This window comes from Homo sapiens, chromosome 6 (assembly GCF_000001405.40).
Source record: "Homo sapiens chromosome 6, GRCh38.p14 Primary Assembly".
Taxonomy (NCBI): Eukaryota; Metazoa; Chordata; class Mammalia; order Primates; family Hominidae; genus Homo; species Homo sapiens.
Window position 1 is genome coordinate 28,280,195 of NC_000006.12, and position 25,660 is coordinate 28,305,854.

Consider the following 25,660-nt stretch of genomic DNA (forward strand, 5'->3'; position numbering starts at 1 on the left):
CAGACACCTCATTAAAGAAGATATACAGATGGAAAATAAGCATATGAAAAGATGCTCCACACCATATCCCATCAGGGAAATTGCAAATTAAAACAACTGTGAGATGCCACTACACATCTATTAGAATGACCAAAATCCAGAACACTGACACATCAAATTCTGGTATGGATGTGGAACAACAGGAGCTCTCATTCATTGCTGGTGGGAATGCAAAATGATACAGCCACTTTGGATGACAGTTAGGTAGTTTCGTACAAAATTAAACATACTCTTACCATGTGATACAGCAATCGCCCTCCTTAGTGTTTACCCAAAGGAGCTGAAAACCAGTGTCTACACAGAAGTTTGCACACAGATGTTTATAGCGGCTTTATTCATAATTGCCAAAACTCAGTAGGTAAATGAATAAATAATGGGTCTGTTTTTTAAAGAGTTTTTTATATTTTTACTATTGAACATCTTTTCACATGTTAATTTGTCACTTATCTTGTGTGTAGTAATGTTCATATCCTTTACTAATTTTTCTACTAAAGTCTCCTTTTACTCTTAAACAGAAGTGCCCTTAAAAATCAAATAGGGAACTTGCATATCAGCATTTTAAATGCACGTGTCCTTTGGCTGAACAGTTCTAATATGTGGCATTTATCCTAGAAATATATTCTTAAAAGAATGTAAAGGTATTGAATGGTGTTCCCTCTAGCATTGCTTTTAAAGAAAAAATATAACCTAAGTATGCATCAATAGGATAGTTAAGTAAATTATGGAACACTCATACAGTATTACTTAGCTGTTAAAGAATAAGCTGATCTGTGAAGATCTCCAAGTTGTCTTAACCGAAAAGAGCTAAGGTGCAAAATTACATTATGATACCATAAGTGTTTTAAAATGTATAAATACTTATTCACTAAACAAAATGTTCATTAAGTGCTACTGTGTGGCAGGTAGTGTCCTAGATAAATATGAACAAAATACAATGGTTAACTCTAAAGAGGGGACACTTTTCGTTTTATGGTCCTTTTGCAACTTGACTTTTTTATTGTACATATATTATGTATACTTAAAGAAAATAATTTGTACAGCTTACTATAATGGTCTTTTTATTGATCTGTCTCTCCTACCAGCCAGTGATGACCCCGAAGACAGACATTTACCACTGTGTTGGTTTTCAATCGAAATGATGTACATAAATTTGGGGCGTGCTTGCACCGTCCGAATGGGCCTGGGGTCCGGCGGCGGAGAGTGACCTGGGCGGGGCAGGAGGTGGCAGCGGGGGTCCTCCCGGCTCACCAGAGAGACGAGCGGCCGTGCTCCTAGAGAGGCAGGGAACCCGCCAGACTCCGCCACTCCGCTGCGGGCGCGGCGCAGGGAGAAGCTTTTGTACCCGCCCAGCTGCTGGAGGCGCCGGCAGCGCCCGCCAGACCCGCCAGCCCAGCGGCCCGGGCTCTGGGGAAACCGGCGCTCCCGACAGGGGAGCACCGGGCCTCTGAGCTCCCTCGGGAGCCTTTCACGAGGTCAGCTACGTCTTTGTTGTGCGCGTTCCTGAACTTTTGGTCCATTAACCAACAATTAGACACGCCGGTATTCAGTGCCTGGCGCGGTGCTAGATGCTGGGTGTAATCTCAGAAAAATACATTCAGGGGCGCGCCTGAGGGTGCTGGCTGCTGGCATCTCAGGTGCTTTACGTGCATTCGTGAAGAAGCCCATCAGTATTTCTTGAATACCAGGTACGTGCCGGGCATGTAGAGTCTATGCAGAGATAAACTCCTGTCCTCAAGAACCCGGGTGGGGATGGGGTTGGTGATCTGTAATACGAGATGGAGATGAGGGTTGGGTGCAGTTTTCTATGGGAATACCCCATCTCAACCTGTGTGGCTTACTTTTCCTGTCTATATGTTAGGGTTAGGGGTTGCCAGGGAAGGTTTTACAATAGAACATTTACGCTGGGCCTTGGGAATTTACCCTTAGAAGGGCGGTCCTGACTGTATAGAGTGGGTGGAAAAAAATTGAGTACTTAGCATGGCAGTGACATAAGAAATTTGGGAAGACCATGGCTTTCTTGAAAGCAGGAACCAAGTCTTTTATTCCAGAGTTAACTTTATGCCTGGAAAATAATGAGATGCTCCACAAATGTTGATTGAGTGACAAACAAATCAGCAAAACCCAGTAAAGATTAGATCCTGGGGAGTTTGAATTTACTTCAACGAGTTTAATGAAAACTTTGTGTGTGTTTATGTGTGTGTGAGGTATGTTGAATATGGTCACAACTGTGCTTTAGGGAATATTAATCCAGTGACCATAGAAGCGGGGAGTTGGGCAGGAATACCGTAACAGAACATTATTGTAACAGTGAATGAAAATAATAGTAAAATTATAAGAAGGAAAGAATGGCTGCAAGAGGCGTTTTTAAGAATTGACTCACTGATTGTGTATAGAGGCTGTTTAAAAGACTGAATGCGTGGAAGATGATGGTGATGCCAGTAGAAATGGAGAAATACCGAGTGAACGCAGCTTTGAGGGACTCTGATTTCAGTTTGAGATCTGTTGAAATTATAGTGCAGTAGAGGCCCACAGCTGCTGGCATTTCAAGATGTGGGTTTGGAGTGCAAAAAGCAAGCTGGTGCCAAAGATTTGAGTCTTCTTGGAACAGAGATATATTGAAAGTGTGACTAAGGAGATCACAAAGGAAAAAATGAAAAGAGGGAATAAAAGAACTTGATGCATGTCTACTGTTTTTCAGTTATGTATTGTTGCATCAAAAATAAAACTCTAAACTTAGTGGCTGAAAACAAGCTCAGCTTATTGTTCCTCAGGATTATGCGGGTTGACTAGGCGGTTCTACTGGTCTCACCTGGAGTTACTAATAGAGCTGCATTCAGGTGGTGAATTATTTGAGCACTAGGCCTGGCTGGGCTTTAACTTGGGCATTTTGGTTCTCATCCACATGACCTCTGTATAGCTAGCTTGGGCTTCCTTACAGCATGGCAGTCTTATGGCAGTGAGCCAAGAGCTACAGCAGCACTCTCTCTTACAATGTCATTTCTGCTGTATTCCACTGGTCAAAGCAAGTCATAGGCCAGAACAGATTCAAGGGAAGGAAAAAGAGACTCCACCCCTTGAATGACAACAGTGGCAAAATCTCATCACAAAAGGTATTTGAGAATGGGAGACTTTGGAAACATTCTGTTACACCTACATTTAAAGTGGAATATTCAATGAGAGTTACACAGATATAGAAGACCTTTGAGACTGTATTATTTGTCCATGAAGGCAGCCATCTGCCTCCTCAATGGGTAAATTATCCCCTCTCCCCAGCTGAAGTGCAAGCTACTCGAGCTTTCTTATTGCTAACACTTCTTCCCTCATGTCCTACATCCCTTACCTTTGGACTCAGGCCCTTTAGTACTAGTTCAAAATATACTTCTGATTCATTTCACTGATAATAGAAGCAAGCAGGCTCAGCTTTTGAGCATTACCTACAGTGGGGACAAAAATGTAAGTAGGTTACATACAGTTTTGAAGCTCTTATAATTTGCATGTTGCTGATAAATTCTTATGCCTCAGATCTCTATTTCTGAATATAGACCCCAAGCTAAGTGAAGCTTTAGCCTCTAAGCTCAACATGTATGAAGCTTTGCCAGGCCCTGCTCCTGAAAATGAAGATGGCCTTGTGAAAGTGAAGGAGGAAGATCCCACCTGGGAGCAGGTGTGCAACTCACAGGAGGGCAGCTCCCACACTCAGGAGATTTGCCGCCTGCGCTTTCGGCACTTCTGCTACCAGGAGGCTCACGGACCCCAGGAAGCTCTGGCCCAACTCCGAGAACTTTGTCATCAATGGCTGAGACCGGAGATGCACACCAAGGAACAGATAATGGAACTGCTGGTGCTGGAGCAGTTCCTGACCATCCTGCCCAAGGAGCTCCAGCCCTGTGTGAAGACATATCCTCTGGAGAGTGGAGAGGAGGCAGTGACAGTGCTGGAGAATCTAGAGACAGGAAGTGGAGACACAGGACAACAGGTGGGAAGAGAATGTGTGTGGTGATGTGGGAGAAGAAAAGGGGGACATGTATCGGTTTATTTTTAACGTTTTATTTTGAAATAACTCCTAATTTATAGAAGTATTAGAAGAATAGAGAACTCCCGTAAAACTCTTCATCCAAATTTGCCAGTTGTTAACATTTGTTTGATGAAGTCCCATTGTTGTGTACACACTCGTACAAGGAAGTGCATTCCCCCCCCCCAAGATGCATATGTATATGTATACACACACATACATACACATATGCAGTATTTTTTTTTCCTGAATCTATTTGAGAGTCAGTTGCAAACACTATATCCCTTTACCTCACTGTTGACCAGGCTGGAGTGCAGTGGTACGATCATAGCATCATTGCAGCCTTGAACTGCAATGGTGGAAGGCTCAAGCAATCCTCCCACCTCAGGCTCCTGAGTAGATGGGACTACAGGTGCATGCCACCATGCCTGGCTAATTTATTTTTAATTTTTTGTAGCGGGGGTGGGGTCTCACTATATTGCCCAGGCTGATCTTGAACTCCTGGCCTCAAGTGATCATGCTGCCTTGGCCTCCCAAAGTGTTGGGATTACAGGCATGAGCCACTGCACCTGGCTATTCGGTGTGTATTTCTGAAGAGTGAGGATATTCTCTTGTATCACAAGAATACAAAAATCAAGTTTAGGGAAATTAAACTTACGATACTATCATATAACCTTAGTCCTTATTCATATTTTGCCATGTTATCCTAATAATGTTCTTTATGATAATTTTCCTGTGATTCAGGATACAAGCCAGCATCACATATTGCACTTAGTTGCCATATCTCTAGTCTGTGAATCTGGAGTAGCTGCTGTCTTTGTCATGACGTTGTTATTTTTGAAGAGTACAGCTAGTTTTTTTGGAGACTATCCCTCAATTTGAGTTTGTCCTATATTTTCTCATGATTCAGGCTGCACATTTTGGCTAGAATACCACAGAGGTAATGTTGTGTTCTCAGTGCGTTACTTCAGGAGGTGCGTAGTGATGATTTGTCCCATTACTGATGAGGTTATGGTGGTACCTGTCAATTTTCTCCACTAGAAAGTTACCATTTTCCCCTTTGTAATTACTAAGTAATCTGTGGGAGACATTTTGAGGTGGTGTACATATCCTGTTCCTCATTAAATTTTCACCAGCTAGTTTAAACATCCACTTGTTTGTTGTTTTTGTTTTTCTGGGCTGGGATCCTTTGCCTGTCTTTTCTGCCTTGTTTGCTGCTGTATCCCCAGCATGTAGAACAGTGCCAGGCTCTTAGCATGCAGTCCATATATGCATGCCCTTTCAAAATAAATCTTTTGTTTCCAGGCCTCTGTCTATATTCAGGGACAGGACATGCACCCAATGGTGGCAGAATATCAAGGAGTCTCTTTGGAGTGTCAGAGCCTCCAGCTCCTGCCTGGGATAACCACCCTGAAGTGTGAACCTCCACAGCGTCCTCAAGGGAACCCCCAAGAAGTGAGTGGTGAGTGCTCGAGTGAGTTTAGTGAGGACGCTGGGAGCTGGCCACTGACACTTGCACAGCCTTCTTGACCTCAAGTTTGTATACATTGTGAAATGATTACCACAAGCTAACTTACATATCTCACAGTTACCTTTTATGTGTCTGTGGTAAGAATTCCTAAGATCTACTCTCATGAAATTTCAAGTATACAATATATTATTATTACTAACTATAGTCAGCATTCTGTACGTAGGTCTTCAGAGCTTATTCATCTTATAACTGCAAGTTTATACCCTGTGACCAACATCAAGTTTTATTTTTTTGTCTAACCCTGTATCTGAACAAACTTGTAAAGACCTGCTTTATTTTACACTGTGCATTTTAAGCTGGTTTATTTAGTATGTATGTGTTGTGGACAAGTACATATAATAGTAAAAGTGAATCGGGGCAAGGCTGTTTTTTTCCAGCAAACTTTATTCCTTCTAGAAATGCAACAACAGCAATAAAAACATTCCATAGTGATCCATTATGGAAGCAAAGAAAAGCAGAGCAAAGAAAAGTGATGTTCTGTTTTATATTTTTGGGTTAGAATTACCACATGTGCTCTTCATTTGATAATTTTGTACTCTGCCATCTGCCAACTGCCAACTTTGTGACCTAGGCAAGTCATTTAATAGGTTATTCAGTTAATCAACAATTATCTGTTTGATCTCTGTGTGTACTCTGCACTCAGCTGTGATTCTTCTGAATGTGCCTAGGATTTTGGAGGCAATAATTTGGACCTTCTTGATTATTTTGAGGATTGGAAATAATCTTTTAAAGTAACAGCACAGTGGCTGGCCTTGTGCAGTCATCATCACCATTTTGATTATTGTTGGTTCTTTGGGATCAGTACCTCCTAACAGTTTTTCTAGTTCATGGCTAACATCTCTTCTCTATTTTTTTAAATATCTTTATTTTCCTGTCTCTCTCTCCATCTTCCTTTCTTCTGCTTTCCTGTTTCCCCTCAGTCTCATCTCTCTACTCTCTACATCCTTTCTTTTGCCTCTGTGTTCTCTCCTTGATCCTTCCTTTATCACCAGCTTCTTCCTCCCCTTTATTTTTGTCTATGATTTTTATTTTTTCTTTATGTGAAAGTGCATGACTGTAAAGCACCTTATGAGTTCATAAATCCCACTCCATTTTTTGGGTGAGAGACCCTAAAGTTGTAGAATTTTAGAATTTCTGACAGAATGAAAGCAGTTGTGATGCTCTTTCTCACACTGTAAAATCTACGTCTTAGTTCTTGAATGTTTAACAAACATAACATTTGGGGGAAAAGGCTGGGTCTCCAAAAAGGGTACCCTAAAGGCCATCATGTCTCATTTAGGACTCTTGCCCTCTCTCTCTGCAGGGCCTGTTCCCCACGGATCAGCTCATCTCCAGGAAAAAAACCCCAGAGACAAGGCTGTAGTGCCTGTGTTTAACCCAGTCAGGTCCCAGGTAAGTAGGATGCCCAAGCTTGTAGGAATATCAGTAGTGGTCTTTCTCCCTCATTCCATGTTCCTTGCCCTTCTCTTGGCTCACACTCATCATCGTGAGAGCCATTCAGGTGGCATAGTCCCTCTGCCTTCACCTTGTCACAGAATATCACAAAGTGTGTTGCATCATTCGAGGAGCTTGTATTGATTATATGCCATTGCCTCATTTCATTGTTCAGGAGGCACGTCCAAATCTCAAGGCATGGGAGTGAGGGGTGGAGTGAGGCTCCTGGTTTCAGAAAGTGCTCCACTCATTTGATGTTGAGTAACTGATATTTTCTCCTTTGAAGTCTCTGGTTTATCTCCCCAGCTTTAGAATAAGGGCCCTTTCTCACACTACTTTATATTCAGCATGTATGCAATTAATGCTTGGTGATAATAATGGAAATTCTATATATCTAAGGTAATACTTAACATCTTCTTCACAAAATGGACTCTGGTTTTTTTTCTTATTAGTGGTTCATTCATTTTCCTAGTCATTTATTTACAAAAAAAAAATAACTCTCTCATTTAAGTCCTCTTGCATACTGCTGCCACATCAGTTTCCTCAAGACACTTGCTCAGTCCTCTTCTATGGCTTCTAATTAATTTTTAATTCTATCAGACCCAGTGCCTCCTGTTATTAACAAATACTTCCTGATAAGAAGTATCTAGAAAATAAAACCTACTCATGCACATTCTGAAAATCAACATAATTCCCTTAAATGTAATTTAATGGTATAATGTAGAAACAAAAAAGTTATTTATTTTAAAAGTAGTGTTTCAAAATGCAAGTGCTTGATGTGATTATAACTAGGGAAATAACAACGTAGTCAGGTGTTTGCACTGAAATATAATTAGTAAGTTCAAATTAAGGAGGAATAAGAAGACCAGAAGCCCAAGAAAATCAAAGAGCAATGGTATAGGTGGACAGTGAAATGAAACTAGTATTGAGTCAGATAATACAAGACTAGACAGAGAAAGTGGGGCCCTTAATTGAAGTAAGGCTTAGATGTTGTAAATTGAATTATGTCCCTCCAAAAGATATATGAAAATCCTAACCCCACGTACCTGTGAATGTGACCTGATTTGGAAACAGGCTCTGTCTTAGTCCATTTTGTGTTGCTAATAACAGAATTCCTGAGACTGGGTAATTTATTTTAAAAAGAGGTTTATTTAGCTCAAAGTTCTACAACCTGGGAAGTCCAAGATCATCAGCCTATCTGGTTAGGATCTCATGCTGCTTTAGCTCATGGCAGAAAGTGGAATGATGGATAATCAAGTGTGTGCAAGGAGACCACACATTAGAGGCAGCCATCCTTTAAACAGTCTGCTCTTGGAGCTGAGCAAGAGCAAGAATAGAAAGCTTATTCAAAGAAATAACAATAGGCCGGGTGCAGTGGCTCTCAACTGTAATCCCAGAACTTTGGGAGGCCATGGCAGGAGGATTGCTTGAGGCCAGGAGTTTGAGACCAGCCTGAGCAACACAGCAAGACCCTGTATCTATTTAAAAAAAAAGAATAGGCCAGGCGTGGTGGCTCATGCCTGTAATCCCACACTTTGGGAGGCTGAGGTGGGTGGATCACGAGGTCAGGAGTTCGAGACCAGCCTGGCCTACCTGGCAAAACCCCGTCTCTACTAAAAATACAAAAAAAAGGAGCCAGGTGTGGCAGGCACCTGCAATGCCAGCTACTCGGGAGGCTGAGGCAGGAGAATCGCTTGAACCTGGGAGATGGAGGTTGCAGTGAGCCGAGATCATGCCATTACACTCCAGCCTGGGCAACAAGAGCAAGACTCCATCTCAAAAAAATTAAAATAAAATAAATTAAAAATAAATTTTAAAAATAGAGAAATAATAACAAAAATCTTCACAAAACTTGTGAAAGATATAAATGTCCAGGTACAGGAAGATCTGAGAACACTGAACAGAATCATCCCAAATAAGACTACTCCAAGGCATATAATAATCAAACTCTCAACTGTCCAGGAAAAAGAGAGGATCTGAAAAGCAGCAAGAGACAAGAAACAAATAAGGAGCTCCAACTTGTCTGGCAATAGACTTCTCAATGGCAATCATACAGGCCAGGAGAAAGTGGAATGACATTTTCAAAGTACTCCAAGAAAAAAACTGACATTCAAGAATATTGTATCCAGCAGAATTATCTTTCATATATGAAGGAGAAAGTCTTTCCCAAACAAACAAGCTGAGAGAGTACACCACCACCAGACACATCTTACAAGAAATGCTAAAGAATTCTTCAGTCTAAAAGGAAAGAAGACTAATGTGCATAAAGAAAACTTTTGAAGGCATAAAAGTCACTGATAAAATTAAGTACATGGACAAACCCAGAATACTTTATTACTGTAATAGTGACATACAGTATACTCACAACTGTGAAGCCCCAAGACATACCTATCAAAAACAATAATAGGACTGGACACAGTGGCTCATGCCTGTAAACCCAGTTCTTTGGGAGGCTGAAGTGGGAGGATCACTTGAGACAAGGAGTTTGAGACCAGCCCAGGCAACATGGTAAGATCCTGATGCTATACCTGGAGACATGAGACAGAGTGAGACCATATCTTTAAAACAAAACAAGACAAACAATAATGGCTAGCAACCTGTTAAGAGATAGGTAATATAAAGATATAAATTGAGACAACGAAAAGTCAAAATCTAGAGGAATGGAATTAAAGCATATAATTTTTTTCTGTGTGTTTCTGCCTTTGTTTCTACTCTTGTATTTGGGATCTAAGATAAGTTGTTATCTCTTTAAAATAACTTATTATATCTGAAGGTCTTCTTTGTAAGCCTCATGATAACTACAATGCAAAAACCTATAATAAATTCACTAAAAATAGCAACAAAGGAAGGCATACTATAAGAGAAAATCACTTAGCCACAGAGGTTTTTTGTTGTTGTTGTTTGAGATAGGGTCTCACTCTTTCACTCTGGCTGGAGTGCAGTGGTATCATCTCAGCTCACTGCAACCTCTGCCTCCCGAGTTCAAGTGATCCTTCCACCTCAGCCTCCCAAGTAGCTGGGACCACAGGTGTGTGCCACCATGCCTGGGTAATTTTTTGTATTTTTTGTAGACCTGGGTTTTTGCCATGTTGCCCAGGCTGGCTTGAACTTCTGGCCTCAAGCAGTCTGCCCACCTTGACCTCCCAAAGTTCTGGGATTACAGGCGTGAGACACCATGCCCGGCTGTATATAACAATTATAAATACCTATGCATGCAACACCAGAGCTCCCAGGTATATAAGGAAAACATTAATAGATCTAAAAGGAGAGTTAGACTGCAATACAATAATAGTAGGAGATTTTAACACCCCACTCTCAGTAATTGACACATCATCCAGACAGAAAGTCAACAGAGAAACGATGGAATTAAACTACATGCTAGATCTAATAAGCCTAACTGATATTTACTGAACATGTAACCCAACTGCTACAGAATGCACATTCTTTTCATCAGCACGTGGGACATAAGAATAGACCATATCTTAGGCCACAAACAAATCTGAACAAATTTTTAAAAAATATAAATCATATCAAGTATCTTTTCTAATCACAGTGGAATAAAACTAGAAAGCAATAACAAGAAAAACCTTGGAAACTACACAAACGCGTGGAAATTAAATAGCATGCTTCTGAACAACTAATTTGTCAGGGAAGAAATTAAGAAGGAAATGTAAAAATGTCTTGAAACTAATGAAAATAGAAAATGTGACATATCAAAATTTGTGGGATACTGCAAAAGCAGTACTAAGAAGGAAATTTATAGCAATAAACACCTATATCAGAAAAGTAAAAAGACATCAAATGCACAACCTAATGATACACCTCAAGGAACTAGAAAAGCAAGAACAAACCAAACTGAAATTAGTAGAAGGAAACAAATAAAGATTAGAACAGAAATAACTGAAATTGAGACCAAAAAAAAAAAAAAAAAACCCAGAAGAACAATGAAACAAGAAGTTGGATTTTTTTTAAAAGATAAACAAAATCAAGTCTTTAGCTGGACAAACAAAAAAGGAGAAGACCCAAATGAATAAAATCAGAAATGAAAAAGACATAACAGCTGAGACCTCAGAAATACAAAGAAACCATTAGAGACTTATGAACAACTATGACAATAAATTTGAAAACCTGGAAGAAATGGATAAATTCCTAGATGCATGCCAACTACCAAGATTGGACCATGAAAAAATAGAAAACCTCAGCAAACCAATAACAAGTAACGAGATAGAATCTGTAATAAAAAGTCTTCCATCAAAGAAAAGCCCAGGACCTGTTGGCTTCCCTGCTGAATTCTACCAAACATTTAAAAAGAACTAATACCAATCCTATTCAAATTCTTCAAAAAAAAAAAAAAAAATTGAAGAGGAGGGACTACTTCCAAATTCATTCTAGGAGGCCAGCATTGCCCTGATACCAAAACTAGACTAGGATACAAAATAAAAAGAAAACTACAGACCAACATCACTGATGAGCATAGGTGCAAAAATTCTCAATGAAACACTAGCAAACTGAATTCAACAACACATTAAAAAGATCATTCACCATGATCAAGTGGGATTCACTCCAGGGATGCAAGGATGGTTCAACATATGCAAATCAATAAATGTGATATATCACATTAATATAATCAAGAACAAACACCATATGATTATTTCAATAGATGCTGAAAAGCATTTGATAAAATTCATTGCTTTTTGATAAAAACCCTTGTCAAAATTGGTATAAAAGGAACATACCTCAAAATAAGGGCCATATATGACAAACCTACAGCTAACATCAAACTGAAGGCCTTTTCTCTAAGGACTGGAACAAGATAAGAATGCCCATCTCACCACTGTTGTTCAACATAATACCCGAAGTCCTGGCCAGAGCAATTATGCAAGAGAAGGAAATAAATGGCATCCAAACCGGATAGCAAAAAGTCAGGTTAGTCTGTTCGCAGATGATATAATCTTATACCTCGAAAAACCTGAAGACTACACCAAAAAAACTGTTAGTGCTGATAAACAAACTAAGTAAAGTTGCAGGATAAAAAATCAACACTCAAAAATTAGTAGCATTTATATACTTCAATAGTGAACAATCTGAGATAGAAATCAAGAAAATGATCGCATTTACAAAAGCTACAAAAAATATAAAATACTTAGGGAATTTAAATACTAAAAATTTAAACACCAAATTAAGTTAAATTTAGTGTTTAAATTCCCTAGGCATTTTATATTTTTTAGTATTTTATTTATAATTTATAATTTAGCATTTAATTACTAAAGAAGTGAAAGACCTGTATAAGGAAAACTAAAACTCTCATGGAACAAATTGAAGAGGACACAAAAACACTGGAAAGATATTCCATTCTAATGGATTGGAAGAATTTATATTATTAAAATGACAATACTTCCCAAAACAATTTACAGATTCAGTGTAATCACTATCAAAATACCAATGACATTCTTCACAAAAATCAGAAAAAAAAATTCATGTGGTGAGCCCTTAATCTAATGACTCATATTCTTATAAGAAGTCCATATTTGCAAATTGACCAAGGGGTTGAAAAAAAAGAAAGAAAAATGCCCAAGTGAAAACACACACAGGGAGAATGCCATGTGATCACTGAGGCAAAGATTTGTATAACACATCTGCAAGCCGAGGAACACCAAGAATTGCTGACAAACACTAAAAACTTGGAGAGAGGCAAGGAAAATTATCCCATGGAGCTTTTTTTCTTTTCTTTTCTTTTCTTTTTCTTTCTTTTTGAGACAGTCTTGCTCTGTTGCCAGGCTGGAGTGCAGTGGCGCGATCTCAGCTCACTGCAACCTCTGGCTCCCTGGTTCAAGTGATTCTCCTGCCTCAGCCTCCCGAGTAGCTGAGATTACAGGCAAGCGCCATCACGCCCAGCTAATTTTTGTATTTTTAGTAGAGATGGGGTTTCACCATGTTGGCCAGGATGGTCTCGATCTCCTGACCTAGTGATGTGCCCACCTTGGCCTCCCAAAGTGCTGGGATTACAGGCATGAGCCACCACGCCAGGCCTCCCATAGAGCTTTCAAAGATAACATGGCCCTACTGATATCTTGATTTTGGATTTCTAGCCTCCAGAGCCATGAGATAATACAATTCTGTTGTTTTCCACTATTGAGGTTGTGGTACTTTGTTACAAGAGCCATAGGAAAGCAATATAAGTTACAAAACAAATTATGGACTGATAAAGGGAGAAAATAAGGAGGTATGATATTACAGATACACTTCCTTCATTGTGTTTCACTTTATTGTGCTTTGCAGTATTGAAAGTTTGTGATGACCCTGTGTGGAACAAGTCTGTCAGCACCATTTTTCTACAGCATGTGCTCACTTTGTGTCACATTTTGGTAATTCTTAAATTCTTAAACGTGACACTCTGTGTCACATTTTGGTAATTCTTAAAATGTTTCAAACTTTATTGTTATATCTGTCATGGTGATCTGTGATCAGTTATTTTTGATGTTACTATTGAATTTGTTTTGGTGTGCCACAAACCATGCCCGTTTAAAATGTCAGACCTAATCAATAAACATTGTATGTGTCCTGACTCCTCCATTGACCAGCTGTTCCCTCATCTCTTTTCCTTTCCTTGGTCCTTGCTATGTCCTGAGACACAATAATATTGAAATGAAGCCATTTATAATACTACTACTACAGTGACCTCTATGTGTTCAAGTGAAAGGAAGAGTCACATGCCTCTCAGGTTCAATAAAAAGCTAGAAGTGATTAAGTATAGTAAGGAAGGCATGTTGAAAGCCGAGATAGGCCAAAAGCTAGGAGGCCTCTTGTGCCAAACAGGCAGGTGGTGAATGCAAAGGAAATGTTCTTGAAGGAAATGAAAAGTGCTACTCTGGTGAACATATGAATGATAAGAAAGCAAAAAGCTTTTTGCTGATATGGAGAAAGTTTGAGTGGTTTGGATAGAAGATCACACCAGCCACAGCATTGCCTTGAGCCAAAGGCTAATCCAGAGCACATCTCTTACTCTCTTCAATTCTGTGAAGGCTGAGAGAGGTGAGGAAGCTACAGAAGAATAATCGGAAGCTAGCAGAGGTTGGTTCGTGAGGTGTAAGGAAGAAGCCATCTCTATAAAATGCATCAGCAACAAGTGCTGATGCAGATGCTGCAGCAGGTTATCCAGATCTAGCTAAAATCACTAATGAAGGTGGCTACACTAAACAACAGATTTTCAATGAAGATGAAACCACCTTTTATTGAAATAAGATGCCATCTAGGACTTTGATTGCTAGAGAGGAGAAGTCAGTGCCTGGCTTCAAAGCTTCAAAGGACAGCCTGACTTGTTAGGGGCTTACGCAGTTGGTGATTTTAAAGTTGAAGCCAGTGCTCATTTATCATTCTGAAAATCCTAGGGTCCATAAGAATTATGCTAAACCTACTCTGCCTGTACTCTAGAAATGGAACAACAAAGCCTGGATGATAGCACATCTGTTTACAGCATGGTTTACTGAATATTTTAAGCCTACTGTTGAGACATACTACTCAAAAAAGAAAAAAAGATTTCTTTGAAAATATTACTGCTTATTCACAGAGCACCTAGTCACACAAGAGCTCTGAAGGAGAGGTACAAGGAAATTAATGTTTTCAAGCCTGCCAATACAATACACATTCTGTAGCCCATGGATCAAGGAGTAATTTTGACTTTCAAGTCTTATTATTTGAGAAATACATTTTTTAAGGCTATAGCTGCCATAGATAGTGATTCCATAGATAGTGATGGATCTGGGCAAAGTAAATTAAAAACCTTCTGGAAAGGATTCATCATTCTAGATGCCATTAACATTTGTGATTCAAGGGAGGAGGTGAAAATACCAACATTAACAGGAGTTTGGAAGAAATTGGTTCTAACACTCATCATTGTCTTTGAGAGGTTTAGGACTTCAGTGGATAGTGTAGCTGCAGATGTGGTGGAAAGGACTAGTATTAGAAGTGGAACCTGAAGATGTGACTGAATTGCTACAATCTCATGACAAAACTTGAACAGATAAGTTACTTCTTATGGGTGAGAAAAGAAAGTGGTTTGAGATTGAATCTACTCCTGGTGAAGCATTGTTGAAATGACAACAAAGGATTTAGAATATTAAATAAACGTAGTTGATAAAGCAGCAGCAGGTTTGAGATGATTGACTACAATTTTGAAAGAAGTTCTACTCTGGGTAAAATGCTATCAAACAACATTGCATGCTACACAGAAATCTTTTGTGAAAGGAAGAGTCAATCAAGGTGGCCAACATTACTGTTGTCTTATTTTAAGCAACTGCCACAGCCACCGAAACCTTCAGCAACCACCACATTGATTAGTCAGCATCGTTCAACATCGCAGGAAGCCCCTCTACCAGCAAAAAGATCACAACTCTCTGAAGGCTCAGATGATTATTAGCATGTATTAGCAATAAAGTATTTTTAAATTAAGATATATACTTTTTTAGACACAATGCTTATGTACGATTAATAGACTACATAGTATAGTGTAAACATGACTTTCACATGCACTCGGAAGCCAAGAAATTTCTGTGACTTGCTTTATTGTGATATTTGCCTTATTGTGGTGGTCTGGAACTGAACCTGCAATATCTCTGAGGTAGGCCTATGTTTAAATGAGGTGGGCTTTGCCTTTTATTATCAAAATAATTATCTGTAGTTTGGAATAGGGTGATGATGAGTTAAAGAGAAAACATCTTCTGTCTTGAAACCCCCTCCTTGTCAAAACAGATATTCATTCTCTAAAAGACTGGCACTGTGTCCTTTTTCAGGCAACAAGAAAGAGAAAGTAGATTGGAAAATGAGAGAAAATCAAGAGGCTAATGAAACCATGTGGTAGCCTTTTGGGACAGTGTCAGAGAGATAGAAAATCTCAGACAGTTCCCCAAATAAATAAATTCAGTGTATGATTTTTCCAGCCTACATATCATTACTAGCTTTGAAATGTTTTTAAACAATCTTTGTTGATGAAATTCAGTGAGATTTCTGCATTTACATTAGATTCCAAATCTGTTAAAAGGAGTCTCAAAACTCTGTTAGGTATTTGTAGTCAGTTTAATTGCATTTGTTATAACTGCAATATTATATTGAAGTGCTGTTCAACCAAATACATAGAAAATGCTGTAAAATAGTGTGTAGAACAATCCAAGTGAGTCAACTTTTGTGACAATGTCTTTAATCGATGTAAGCTTCCTTCTCTAACTTTCTTGAATTACTGACTTTTTTTCAGTATCATCCTATAAAAACTCTTCAGGTTTCCTATGTTTCAGTGTAGCTGATTTATACTGATTGTAGGTTTGGTTCAGGAGGACACTCAAAAGTCCTGCAGGATGTGGAAGAATTCTTTGTAGTGTGGGACTGTCCCACATATTTCAAGATGCCTAGCATCTCTGGCCTCACCCTCTGAATGGCATCGGCTTGAGGTGGTGGTGGACTTCATTGTTATAACCAGAAAGGTTCCCACAAGTTTACAAAATGCCCTGAGGGGCTGGGACTACCGGTCTACAGCGTGGTATTCAACACCCTTCACAACTGGATTCCTTACCATGTGAAAACAAAGAGGCTATTTTCTTTTTTTGTCTTTTTAGACATTGGTGAAGACTGAGGAAGAAACAGCCCAGGCCGTTGCTGCAGAGAAGTGGTCACATCTGAGTCTGACTCGGAGGAACCTCTGTGGGAACTCAGCTCAGGAGACAGTTATGAGCCTCAGTCCGATGAGTAAGGCCAGGCCTCTGGCTGGACCCCTGTCTGGACTCTCATTTTCCTGTCACTCACCCTGGCTTGGCCCTTGGGAGGCCACGTTTCCTACAGACCCACACCCTTCCTTTCCCTTCTTCTGGCCTCTGCCTCCAGACTTCTAGCCCTTATCACTTTGCATCCTTCCCAATCACATTTTCTTCTGTTACTAATCAGTTTACTGATTGTTGTGGTTATCTTCTCTGATCATCTCTTCTAGTTCCCTGATTCCTTCAGTGACTCCTTTGTATCCTTTTCCCCTTTTTTCTTCCCTGTCAAGGATTCCATATAACTTGTCTTTCAGATATCCCTTCATACTTGGAAGCCCCATGAACACCTCTGTCTGACCTTGTCTTTACCTCAGAGGAGGTCATCTTCACTCTCTAAGAACACGACAGTTCATGTTTATTTTATTTTTTTTAGTTTTTTTAAAGATGGGGTCTCGCTTTGTTGCCCATGCTGGAGCATAGTGGCACGATGATAGTTCACTGCAGCCTCAAACTCCTGGGCTCAACTGATCCTCCCACCTCAGCCTTCTAAAAAGCTGGGGCTACACCCAGGTAATTTTTTGTAGACACGGAGTCTCGCTATGTTGCCCAGGCTGGTCTTGAACTCCTGGCCTGAAGCAGTCCTTCCACCTTGGCCTCCCAAAGCACCCAGCCTAATTTTCTTGAAATGTGCTCTGCCCTGTTGGGCCCTCTCTGCAGCTGGGCTTTGGTGCCTTAATTAACCTTTCTTATCATTTTCCCATACCATGCCACATTTTGTAGGATTGCTGAAACTGTGCACCCTTGAAACACCAATATGATTTGTTTTTTGTTTGATTTGGAACATCTATTCCCTACCCTGGAAGTTTTTTTTTTTTTTTTTTTTTTTTTTTTTCAAAATTCACATAACAGATGACATTTAAATCATTAATGTTATATTTTAGCTGAAGAAATTGTAACTAAAGATAGATTGTTTAAAGCAAAGCAAGAAACTTCTGAAGAAATGGAACAAAGTGGAGAAGCCTCAGGAAAGCCCAACAGGTGAGTGTCCATGGTCCTCAGTGAATCAAATCCTGCAGATATAAGAAATTGGAATGGAATCAGAGAAACCAATTGGTCAAAGGCCTGCTTCTCTGGAATAAGATATGACAACTGCCACTCACTTCTGTGATCATAGGAGGTCCATGCCAAGAAAGTGACCTATTCAAAATTTTCAATATGCAATAAATATACAAAACCTTCAGTTGATACTCAGTTTCCTCCAAGAAGCCTATCCTGATCCAGTCTGTCCTGCTTGATTACCCTTCCCTGGGCTCCCTTACATTTTTATGGAGCTGTGGAGAAGCTAGAAGGCAGATAATTTAACAAGAATGAGGGCTACAGATGAAGCTGCCATGACAGTTAAGAAAGAAATGTCAGAGTGGAAGAGGACAAGCAGGGTACAGGTTGAGCATTCCAAATCTGAAATGTTCCAAAATCTGAGCTGTTTGAGCACCAGCATGATGCTCAAAGGAAATGCTCATTGGAGCATTTTGGATTTTGGATCTTTGGTTAGGGATGCCCAACTGGTATAATGCAAATATTCCAAAATCTGAAAAAAATCCAAAATTCAAAAATCTTCTGACCCCAAGCATTTCAGATAAGGGAAAATTAACCTGTATTTTCAACCGCCATTGGGAGACCTGAACAAGGTATAGGTCAAAAGGAAAGTTAGCTGATGAAGTAGAAATGAATGACAGTGGTGTGTGCTTCATAAGTGCTGGTTGTGGGAATGAATGAACTTGTAACAGATACTCCTATGCAAAGCAAGAAACTTCTGAAGAAATGGAACAAGGTGGAGAAGCCTCGGGAATGCCCAACATTCCGAGGCTTCTCAGGATTGCAGAAAGAGAGGGAACAAATCACAAGCAGAGGGTTGGCTTCTGGTGAGGCCATTTGGTCCTCAGAGACTTGAGAAAAGAGAGAGTAAGCAAGGTGGGCTACTTGGCCAAAGAGCTGAGAAGGGGGTGTGAATTTTCCTTATTGACATTTGTTTAACTTAGAGAAACTGGGAGCTAAATCTCAGCTAAAGTAGAAATGTCTTAAAGCTCAAGAGGAGAAGTGAAATTTTGCATTAAGATTAGTGAAGACTGAGCCAGGCTCCACTAAAGGAAGAGATATGATGTTCAGTAACTTAGAGCAGAGTTATGCAACTGGAGAATAGGAATCTGCTATTGTGCCTGTAGGTACATTTAGTATCAGGCAACTAACAGGTAATTCATAGTGCCTATAATAAAGATATTCATATAACAAAAAGTGTGAAGGTAGGCTATTTCAGGTTAGGTGCAATAGCTTAACCATGGTATCAAAGGTCTAGCCCCCTGCCCTCCTTCTAGTCCCCCTCCCTCACCCCCACCCCACTTTCTTAGCTCACTCTTTTTTCCCATTTCTCACTCCCATTTCCTTCCCTCACAATATTGGGCTTAATGCACTGTGGTTCTTAGAGTTTAGATGTCAACAGTAGAAAGACTCAGTGTGATCAAGGAATGTCACTGAAGTTATGGATGTCAGGGAACTTTAAGATGGATGTGTTGAATACATGCAGACACTGAAGACACCCTGGATGATAAACACTTTACATAAAGAAATGTATGTAGTGTAAATTATATTAAAATATACTCTTCATGCTTCTTAAATGTCTTTGAAAACTTGACTAGTTTACCAACAGAACACTAATAAATTAAATGCACATGTCTAAAAATTAAAAACTTTGTGTAAAATAATACTTTTCAGTTGGGTGCAGTGGCTCATGCTTGTAATCCCAGCACTTTGGGAGGCCGAGGTGAGTGGATCACGAGGTCAGGAGTTTGAGACCAGCCTGGCCAACACAGTGAAACCCTGTCTCTACTAAAAATACAAAAATTAGTTGGGCATGGTGGCACGTGCCTGTAGTCCCAGCTACTCGGGAGGCTGAGGCAGGAGAATTGCTTGAACCTGGGAGGCAGAGGTGGCAGTGAGCTGAAATCATGCCACTGCACTCCAGCCTGGGTGACAGAGCTAGACTCTGTCTCAAAAAAAAAAAAAAACAAAACAAAACTTTTCATCTTTGTAACTTTAGCTTACTTCCTTGTAAACCCCATAAAAATCAGTCCAAGTGCAATGAGTTGAGTTTCATTTGTTTTTCCCCAGAGTAGTATGTCCATCAGATGAATGTAGAACTAGCAGGGGCTAAGTCCTTCCATGTTCAGAAATTCTGTGAGAGATGTCAGAAGACCTGGTAAATAATAACCTTTTTTTCTTGTTCAGATTCAGAACCAATTGACAGGGATGCAGGAGTAAAATAGATGGTTCTGGAAACCTCAGTTTCTTACTGACAGAAGTTAGACTGGATAAAAACGGCTTAAAGGCAGAGCTAAATAGGCTTGTACTGGCAGAGGAGGAGTGTAGCAGATGTCCCTCTGCATAGGTCTTCTCAATGCAACTTGGGGCACCAAGGAGCATGGGATGTCTGCATCCTGCTCCTAAAGAGGACAGAGGGAGGAGTGTACCAAGGATACTCAGTTATTTCTCCCAGGCTCAACAGTTAGTTCCATCCTGAGGAGTGAGTGAGAGGTGGAGAGTGGCTAGAAATGTTTAATCTAGCCAAAGTCCTCCCCATGGAAACTTAAGAGAAATAAGTAAGTATCCCCCCACACCCACCCCAAGCCCCAAAAGATTTAAGCTTCAGCAGATTTATCATGTGTGAGAGAATATGATTGAGGATTTTTATAACATGTTCTTTTTTTCTTTCCCAGAGAGTGTGCACCCCAGATTCCTTGTAGTACTCCTATTGCTACTGAAAGGACAGTTGCACATTTGAACACTCTGAAGGACCGTCACCCAGGTGATTTGTGGGCCCGCATGCACATCTCATCCCTGGAATATGCTGCAGGAGACATTACCCGAAAAGGGAGAAAAAAAGACAAAGCTCGAGTGAGTGAACTGCTCCAAGGCCTCTCATTCTCTGGTGACTCAGATGTGGAAAAAGATAATGAGCCTGAGATCCAGCCTGCTCAAAAGAAGTTAAAGGTATCATGTTTCCCAGAAAAGAGTTGGACCAAAAGAGACATTAAACCCAATTTTCCAAGCTGGTCAGCACTGGATTCTGGACTTTTGAATCTCAAGAGCGAAAAGTTGAACCCAGTAGAGCTTTTTGAATTATTTTTTGATGATGAAACATTCAACTTAATTGTCAATGAAACCAATAATTATGCTTCTCAGAAAAATGTCAGCTTGGAAGTCACAGTTCAGGAAATGAGGTGTGTGTTTGGTGTCTTACTTTTGAGTGGATTTATGAGGCATCCTAGAAGGGAAATGTATTGGGAAGTCTCTGACACCGATCAGAACCTGGTTAGAGATGCAATCAGAAGGGACAGATTTGAATTGATTTTCTCAAACCTGCACTTTGCAGATAATGGCCACCTAGATCAAAAAGATAAGTTTACAAAGTTGAGACCTCTCATAAAACAAATGAATAAAAATTTCCTCTTGTATGCTCCCCTGGAAGAATACTATTGCTTTGATAAGTCAATGTGTGAATGCTTTGATAGTGACCAATTCCTGAATGGAAAGCCTATTAGAATTGGCTATAAAATTTGGTGTGGTACAACCACACAGGGTTATCTGGTTTGGTTTGAACCCTATCAAGAAGAATCAACTATGAAGGTAGATGAGGATCCTGATCTTGGGTTAGGTGGAAATCTAGTGATGAACTTCGCTGATGTTCTTTTAGAGAGAGGTCAGTATCCCTATCACCTGTGTTTTGATAGCTTCTTTACAAGTGTCAAATTGTTGTCAGCCTTGAAAAAGAAGGGGGTGAGGGCAACAGGAACAATTCGTGAGAACAGGACCGAAAAATGTCCCCTTATGAATGTAGAACATATGAAAAAAATGAAGAGAGGGTATTTTGATTTCCGAATAGAAGAAAACAATGAGATAATTTTGTGTCGTTGGTATGGGGATGGCATTATCAGTCTGTGCTCCAATGCTGTGGGCATAGAACCAGTCAATGAGGTAAGCTGTTGTGATGCTGATAACGAAGAAATCCCTCAGATAAGTCAACCATCCATAGTAAAAGTGTATGATGAATGCAAGGAAGGTGTAGCTAAAATGGATCAAATTATTTCGAAATACAGGGTGAGGATAAGAAGCAAGAAATGGTACTCAATTTTGGTGAGCTACATGATTGATGTAGCCATGAACAATGCATGGCAACTACACAGAGCCTGTAACCCAGGTGCTTCTCTAGACCCCTTGGATTTTCGGAGATTTGTTGCACATTTCTACTTGGAACACAATGCTCATCTGTCAGATTAGGGTACATAAAATGGACATAGTGCAGACATTAATAAGACATAGAAAAATAATAATTATACATGCTGTTGTACCCTCCCAAAGTAAATCTGATATATGTAATGAAGTTATTAAATAATACTTTTAAAAATCAGACATTTATATAGAGTTTCAAAGACTATTGTAACAAGTAATGTTAAAAATTGTCTGTGAGAATGTTGAACTGTAGTACCTTTCTCTATGTCAAGTTTTGTGTCAGACATGGGAAATCATGTATTTGTTCAATTGACTACTTTGTGCACTTATTTATTTATTTTTTGAGACACAGTCTCGCTCTGCGGCCAAGCTGGAGTGCAGTGGCACGATCTTGGCTCACTGCAACCTCTGACACCCTAGTTCAAGCGATTCTCCTGCCTCAGCCTCCCAAGTAGCTGGGATTACAGGCACGTGCTGCCATGCCTAGCTAATTTTTGTATTTTTAGTAGAGACAGGGTTTCACCATGTTGGCCAGGATGGTCTCGATCTGACCTCGTGATCTGCCTGCCTTGGCCTCCCAAAGTGCTGGGATTACAGGCGTGAGCCACCATGCCCAGCTATTTTGTGCATTTAAAGAAGGAAATCCTACCTCTTAAAAAAAATTATCTGGAGAATGCCATTTTTAAGATGCAAGCAATGTTACAGAAACCATAGAATGGTGCTGACTCAATAGTTCAAACTAGTGACACAGCCTATGAAGTAAGAATGATCTAAACAAAACATAGGTGGTAAGAGACTAAAAACCTTAGCATTGGTGTAAAACTGGATCGGATTGTGTGTAAGTGAGAAGGGTCAGGCATGGATATTGAAGGAGAGTGCTATAAAGGAAAAACCAGAGGTGAAGCAGTGCCTTTGAATATTGAAATGATAGGTGTATCCTATGGTGACTGTGTGAGTTGGCAGCAGAAGTCAGAAGAGTAAAGAAAACCAAGGAAACAGGCAAATCAGGGTAACAAGTAACCAGGAGAGTGAAGGAAAAGATAGGCATAAAGTCAACATAAAGGCCAAGTTGAAATCACCTGAGGAGATGTCTAGGCTTAAGGCCATCAGTGATAGGTAACTGAAGGAGAAACACTTGGAAAAGTGAATGATACGGACTGTGACTCCTTAGTGTTGAAGTCTAGCATTGGTGGATTAGTCTGGAGGGTAGAGAAGACAGGCTCCACCTCATTTCTGTGAGTTGTAGCCACAACAGCTCTTTGCCTTTCTTTCATATCCTAATATTTACAGTCCCTTTCCTGGCTGGAAGGCAGGTGGTCAGGTTTGAATTCTTTCAACAGGTATGTTTCTTATGTGGATGACTGGTGAAAGTGTAAGCTGCGTGTAATGTAGTCACAGATTCACCTATTCCATGCAAGATGTTCAAAGAAAATATAAGTTCATTATTTCCTGTAATTGATCTGATATTCTTTGTGAAATACATCACCAGCGTGGGTTGGTTTCACTTTTAAATGATGAAGTGTCTGGTGTCTAAGTATCTCCCCACAAAAGGGTATTAATAGAATGCAGGTTTTAGTTAAATGATGAGTGGTGCAGATAGTAATTGCTAATATAGGCAGGAAATAGTTACAGAATAACTTCGTATTTCACTTTCATGTCTGCCCTGATGTTTAGAGCCCTCTAGCCATCCCCACTTGGAAGTTATCAAAGGCTGCACTTTATATCTCCCACATTCTAAATCTGCTTTTCTCTTCTCCAGGGTTCCATAATTATGTAAATAATATCACTGAACACCCAGGTTATCAAACAAGACACCTAAATGTTACCTGTGACCCTCTTCTACCACTCACCTCTAATATCTCTTGAATCCATTCACACCATTCTACCTCTTTGCCATCATTCAGACCACAGTTCTGTGATGTTGCTTGACTGCTCACCAGACCCTTCCTTGACCCTCCCCCTCCCCAAACCTGTCTCCAAACAATGACTGTGAAAGTTCTGAAGAGCAAATCTGAGCATCAGCTATGCAGCAGATAGAAACAGTATGTTATGAAAAAGCATAAATAGTGGACTGTATGTGGGTCTTGGCACCAGAAAGCCTTTGAGTTTCAGCCATGTAACCTTGGGCAGATTAACTCTCTGAGCCTAACCCACACTCTCCATGGCACTCAATATACCACTCTACAGTTGAGAAGCAAATGTGGAGCCCAAGGAAAATGGGGAGTGACACCCTAAGACTGGAGCAGAACTGGCCCATGCTGTACACACCAGTACCTGCCCAGGAAGTGAAGTAAGCTGGAAGGAACCTGGTTCCCTGAAGACTGGAATAGAGTCTTGAAAATTGCCTACGGCTGAGATTTACATGTGAGGGCAAAAAACTTCTATCTTGGTGAACTCATTGTTACTGGGGGTGGGGTGGGGGTATTTGTTATTCTCAGCTGAACATAATTCTAAGTGACAGTCACTGATCCATATCAGGTCTCCTAGGTTAGATGAAGTTGGATACAGGAGAACAACTTTGGATGACTCCTAATTCACACCCACAAAAAAATTGAACAAAAACTTTTAGCATTTGCTACATATGACTGTTCTAAGAGTTTTACAAATATTAAGTTATTAATATCCCCATTCTATGGATGAGAAAAACATAAGTAGCATTTTAAAAGTCATATAGCTAGTAAGTGGTATAATCCTTGCAGCCAATATTGAGTGCCAATTTGTTTTATGGTTTTTGCTTCTAGTTTTTATTCCTTTTGGTCTTCTCTTTAAAAAACCCAAAAAAGATCACACTGCAGGAGAGGTCAACACCTTTGTCATTGTGAAAGGGTTAGGAAAAGACATTACAAAGGTTCCTGGAGATCTGTACCAAGAGAATGACTGTCTACCACACCATTGTACTGAACATCTATGGTACTTCTGCACACACCGTGTTCATGGTGCTCCTTAAATACTGCTGCCTTACATGGTAGTTGTTTTTGTTCAGGGCATATCCTTTATTAGACAACAAATTTACAGGGAATCTCTTTTGCAACCCTCCTTGCAACCAAAACAAGACCTGAAATTTGCTATATTACTCAGCATACTTAGAATACATTGCAATTTGATGGGAAAATTTGGCTATCCAAATACATAGCTTTATCTTTAAAGTGTACTATAGAACAATGGAATATGAGAGTAACCTTGGAAACAATACAGAATAATTTGGAGTGAGAGATAATGAAGACAAATGGTGACTTTAAAACATTATTAGGTAAATTTATACCTTAGGAGAGGCCCCAGCATCCTTTACTAATCTGGCTTGCTTCAAGGAACAGTTTCCAACTAAGTCACAGGACAGTGACTTTTTAAGGCAGGACAATTCTTCAAGGCAGGACAAACCTCATGATTAAGTTCTCCTGTAGTCCTTACACTGAGGTATCTAATTAGGGATTGTCCGCTTTTTAATAACTGGATACCAAATTAACATCAGTCTGACTTGCATTTGTGCCTAAACATTCTGACTTAACCCCCAGGCTCAGACTGAACTATTTCCTTATTTTATACTATAAAGTTCATTCTTTTAAAATTTTATTTTATGTATTTCAATAGGTTTTTGGGGAAAAGGTAGTGTTTGGTTAC

The 25,660-nt window shown here is 39.9% G+C and overlaps 1 protein-coding gene across 9 annotated transcripts, besides 3 other annotated features; it reads left to right on the forward strand.

Annotated features, from left to right (window-relative positions):
* On the forward strand, positions 1,378-22,355 carry PGBD1 (piggyBac transposable element derived 1). Of its 9 annotated transcripts, NR_169855.1 has the most exons (8): positions 1,378-1,724; positions 3,582-4,015; positions 5,357-5,513; positions 6,886-6,974; positions 16,622-16,751; positions 17,193-17,329; positions 17,701-17,797; positions 20,530-22,355. NR_169855.1 is itself a non-coding variant. In NM_001184743.2 (7 exons), the coding sequence occupies exons 2-7, from the start codon at positions 3,620-3,622 to the stop codon at positions 22,088-22,090; spliced, it is 2,430 nt and encodes an 809-aa protein (NP_001171672.1). In that variant the 5' UTR covers positions 1,378-1,724; positions 3,562-3,619; the 3' UTR covers positions 22,091-22,355. The 9 variants fall into 9 exon arrangements, 3 of the variants coding, with proteins under 3 accessions (NP_001171672.1, NP_115896.1, NP_001372988.1); NR_169858.1 differs by lacking the exon at positions 17,193-17,329 and having other exon boundaries at positions 3,562-4,015; positions 5,357-5,506; NR_169860.1 differs by lacking the exon at positions 17,193-17,329 and having other exon boundaries at positions 5,357-5,506.
* Positions 1,409-1,558: a silencer, noted in NCBI's record as "silent region_17044". NCBI's record gives its function as "represses an Ori minimal core promoter by ATAC-STARR-seq in GM12878 lymphoblastoid cells {active_cell/tissue: GM12878}" and the evidence as "EXISTENCE:reporter gene assay evidence [ECO:0000049][PMID:35858748]".
* Positions 1,750-1,926: a silencer, noted in NCBI's record as "fragment chr6:28249721-28249897 (GRCh37/hg19 assembly coordinates)". NCBI's record gives its function as "represses an EF-1alpha promoter that drives an FKBP-Casp9 reporter gene in an ReSE screen in K562 erythroleukemia cells {active_cell/tissue: K562}" and the evidence as "EXISTENCE:reporter gene assay evidence [ECO:0000049][PMID:32094911]".
* Positions 3,877-4,084: a silencer, noted in NCBI's record as "fragment chr6:28251848-28252055 (GRCh37/hg19 assembly coordinates)". NCBI's record gives its function as "represses an EF-1alpha promoter that drives an FKBP-Casp9 reporter gene in an ReSE screen in HepG2 liver carcinoma cells {active_cell/tissue: HepG2}" and the evidence as "EXISTENCE:reporter gene assay evidence [ECO:0000049][PMID:32094911]".
* Positions 22,356-25,660: the final 3,305 nt, after the last annotated feature.

What these genes read in the sequence shown, in the direction of transcription:
- PGBD1 (NM_001184743.2), top strand. Translation starts at nt 3,620, where the DNA reads ATGTATGAAGCTTTGCCAGGCCCTGCTCCTGAAAATGAAGATGGCCTT. An exon ending in GTGGAGACACAGGACAACAG is followed by an intron (nt 4,016 to 5,356) that starts GTGGGAAGAGAA and finishes TTTTGTTTCCAG; the next exon opens with GCCTCTGTCTATATTCAGGG. An exon ending in GAACCCCCAAGAAGTGAGTG is followed by an intron (nt 5,514 to 6,885) that starts GTGAGTGCTCGA and finishes CTCTCTCTGCAG; the next exon opens with GGCCTGTTCCCCACGGATCA.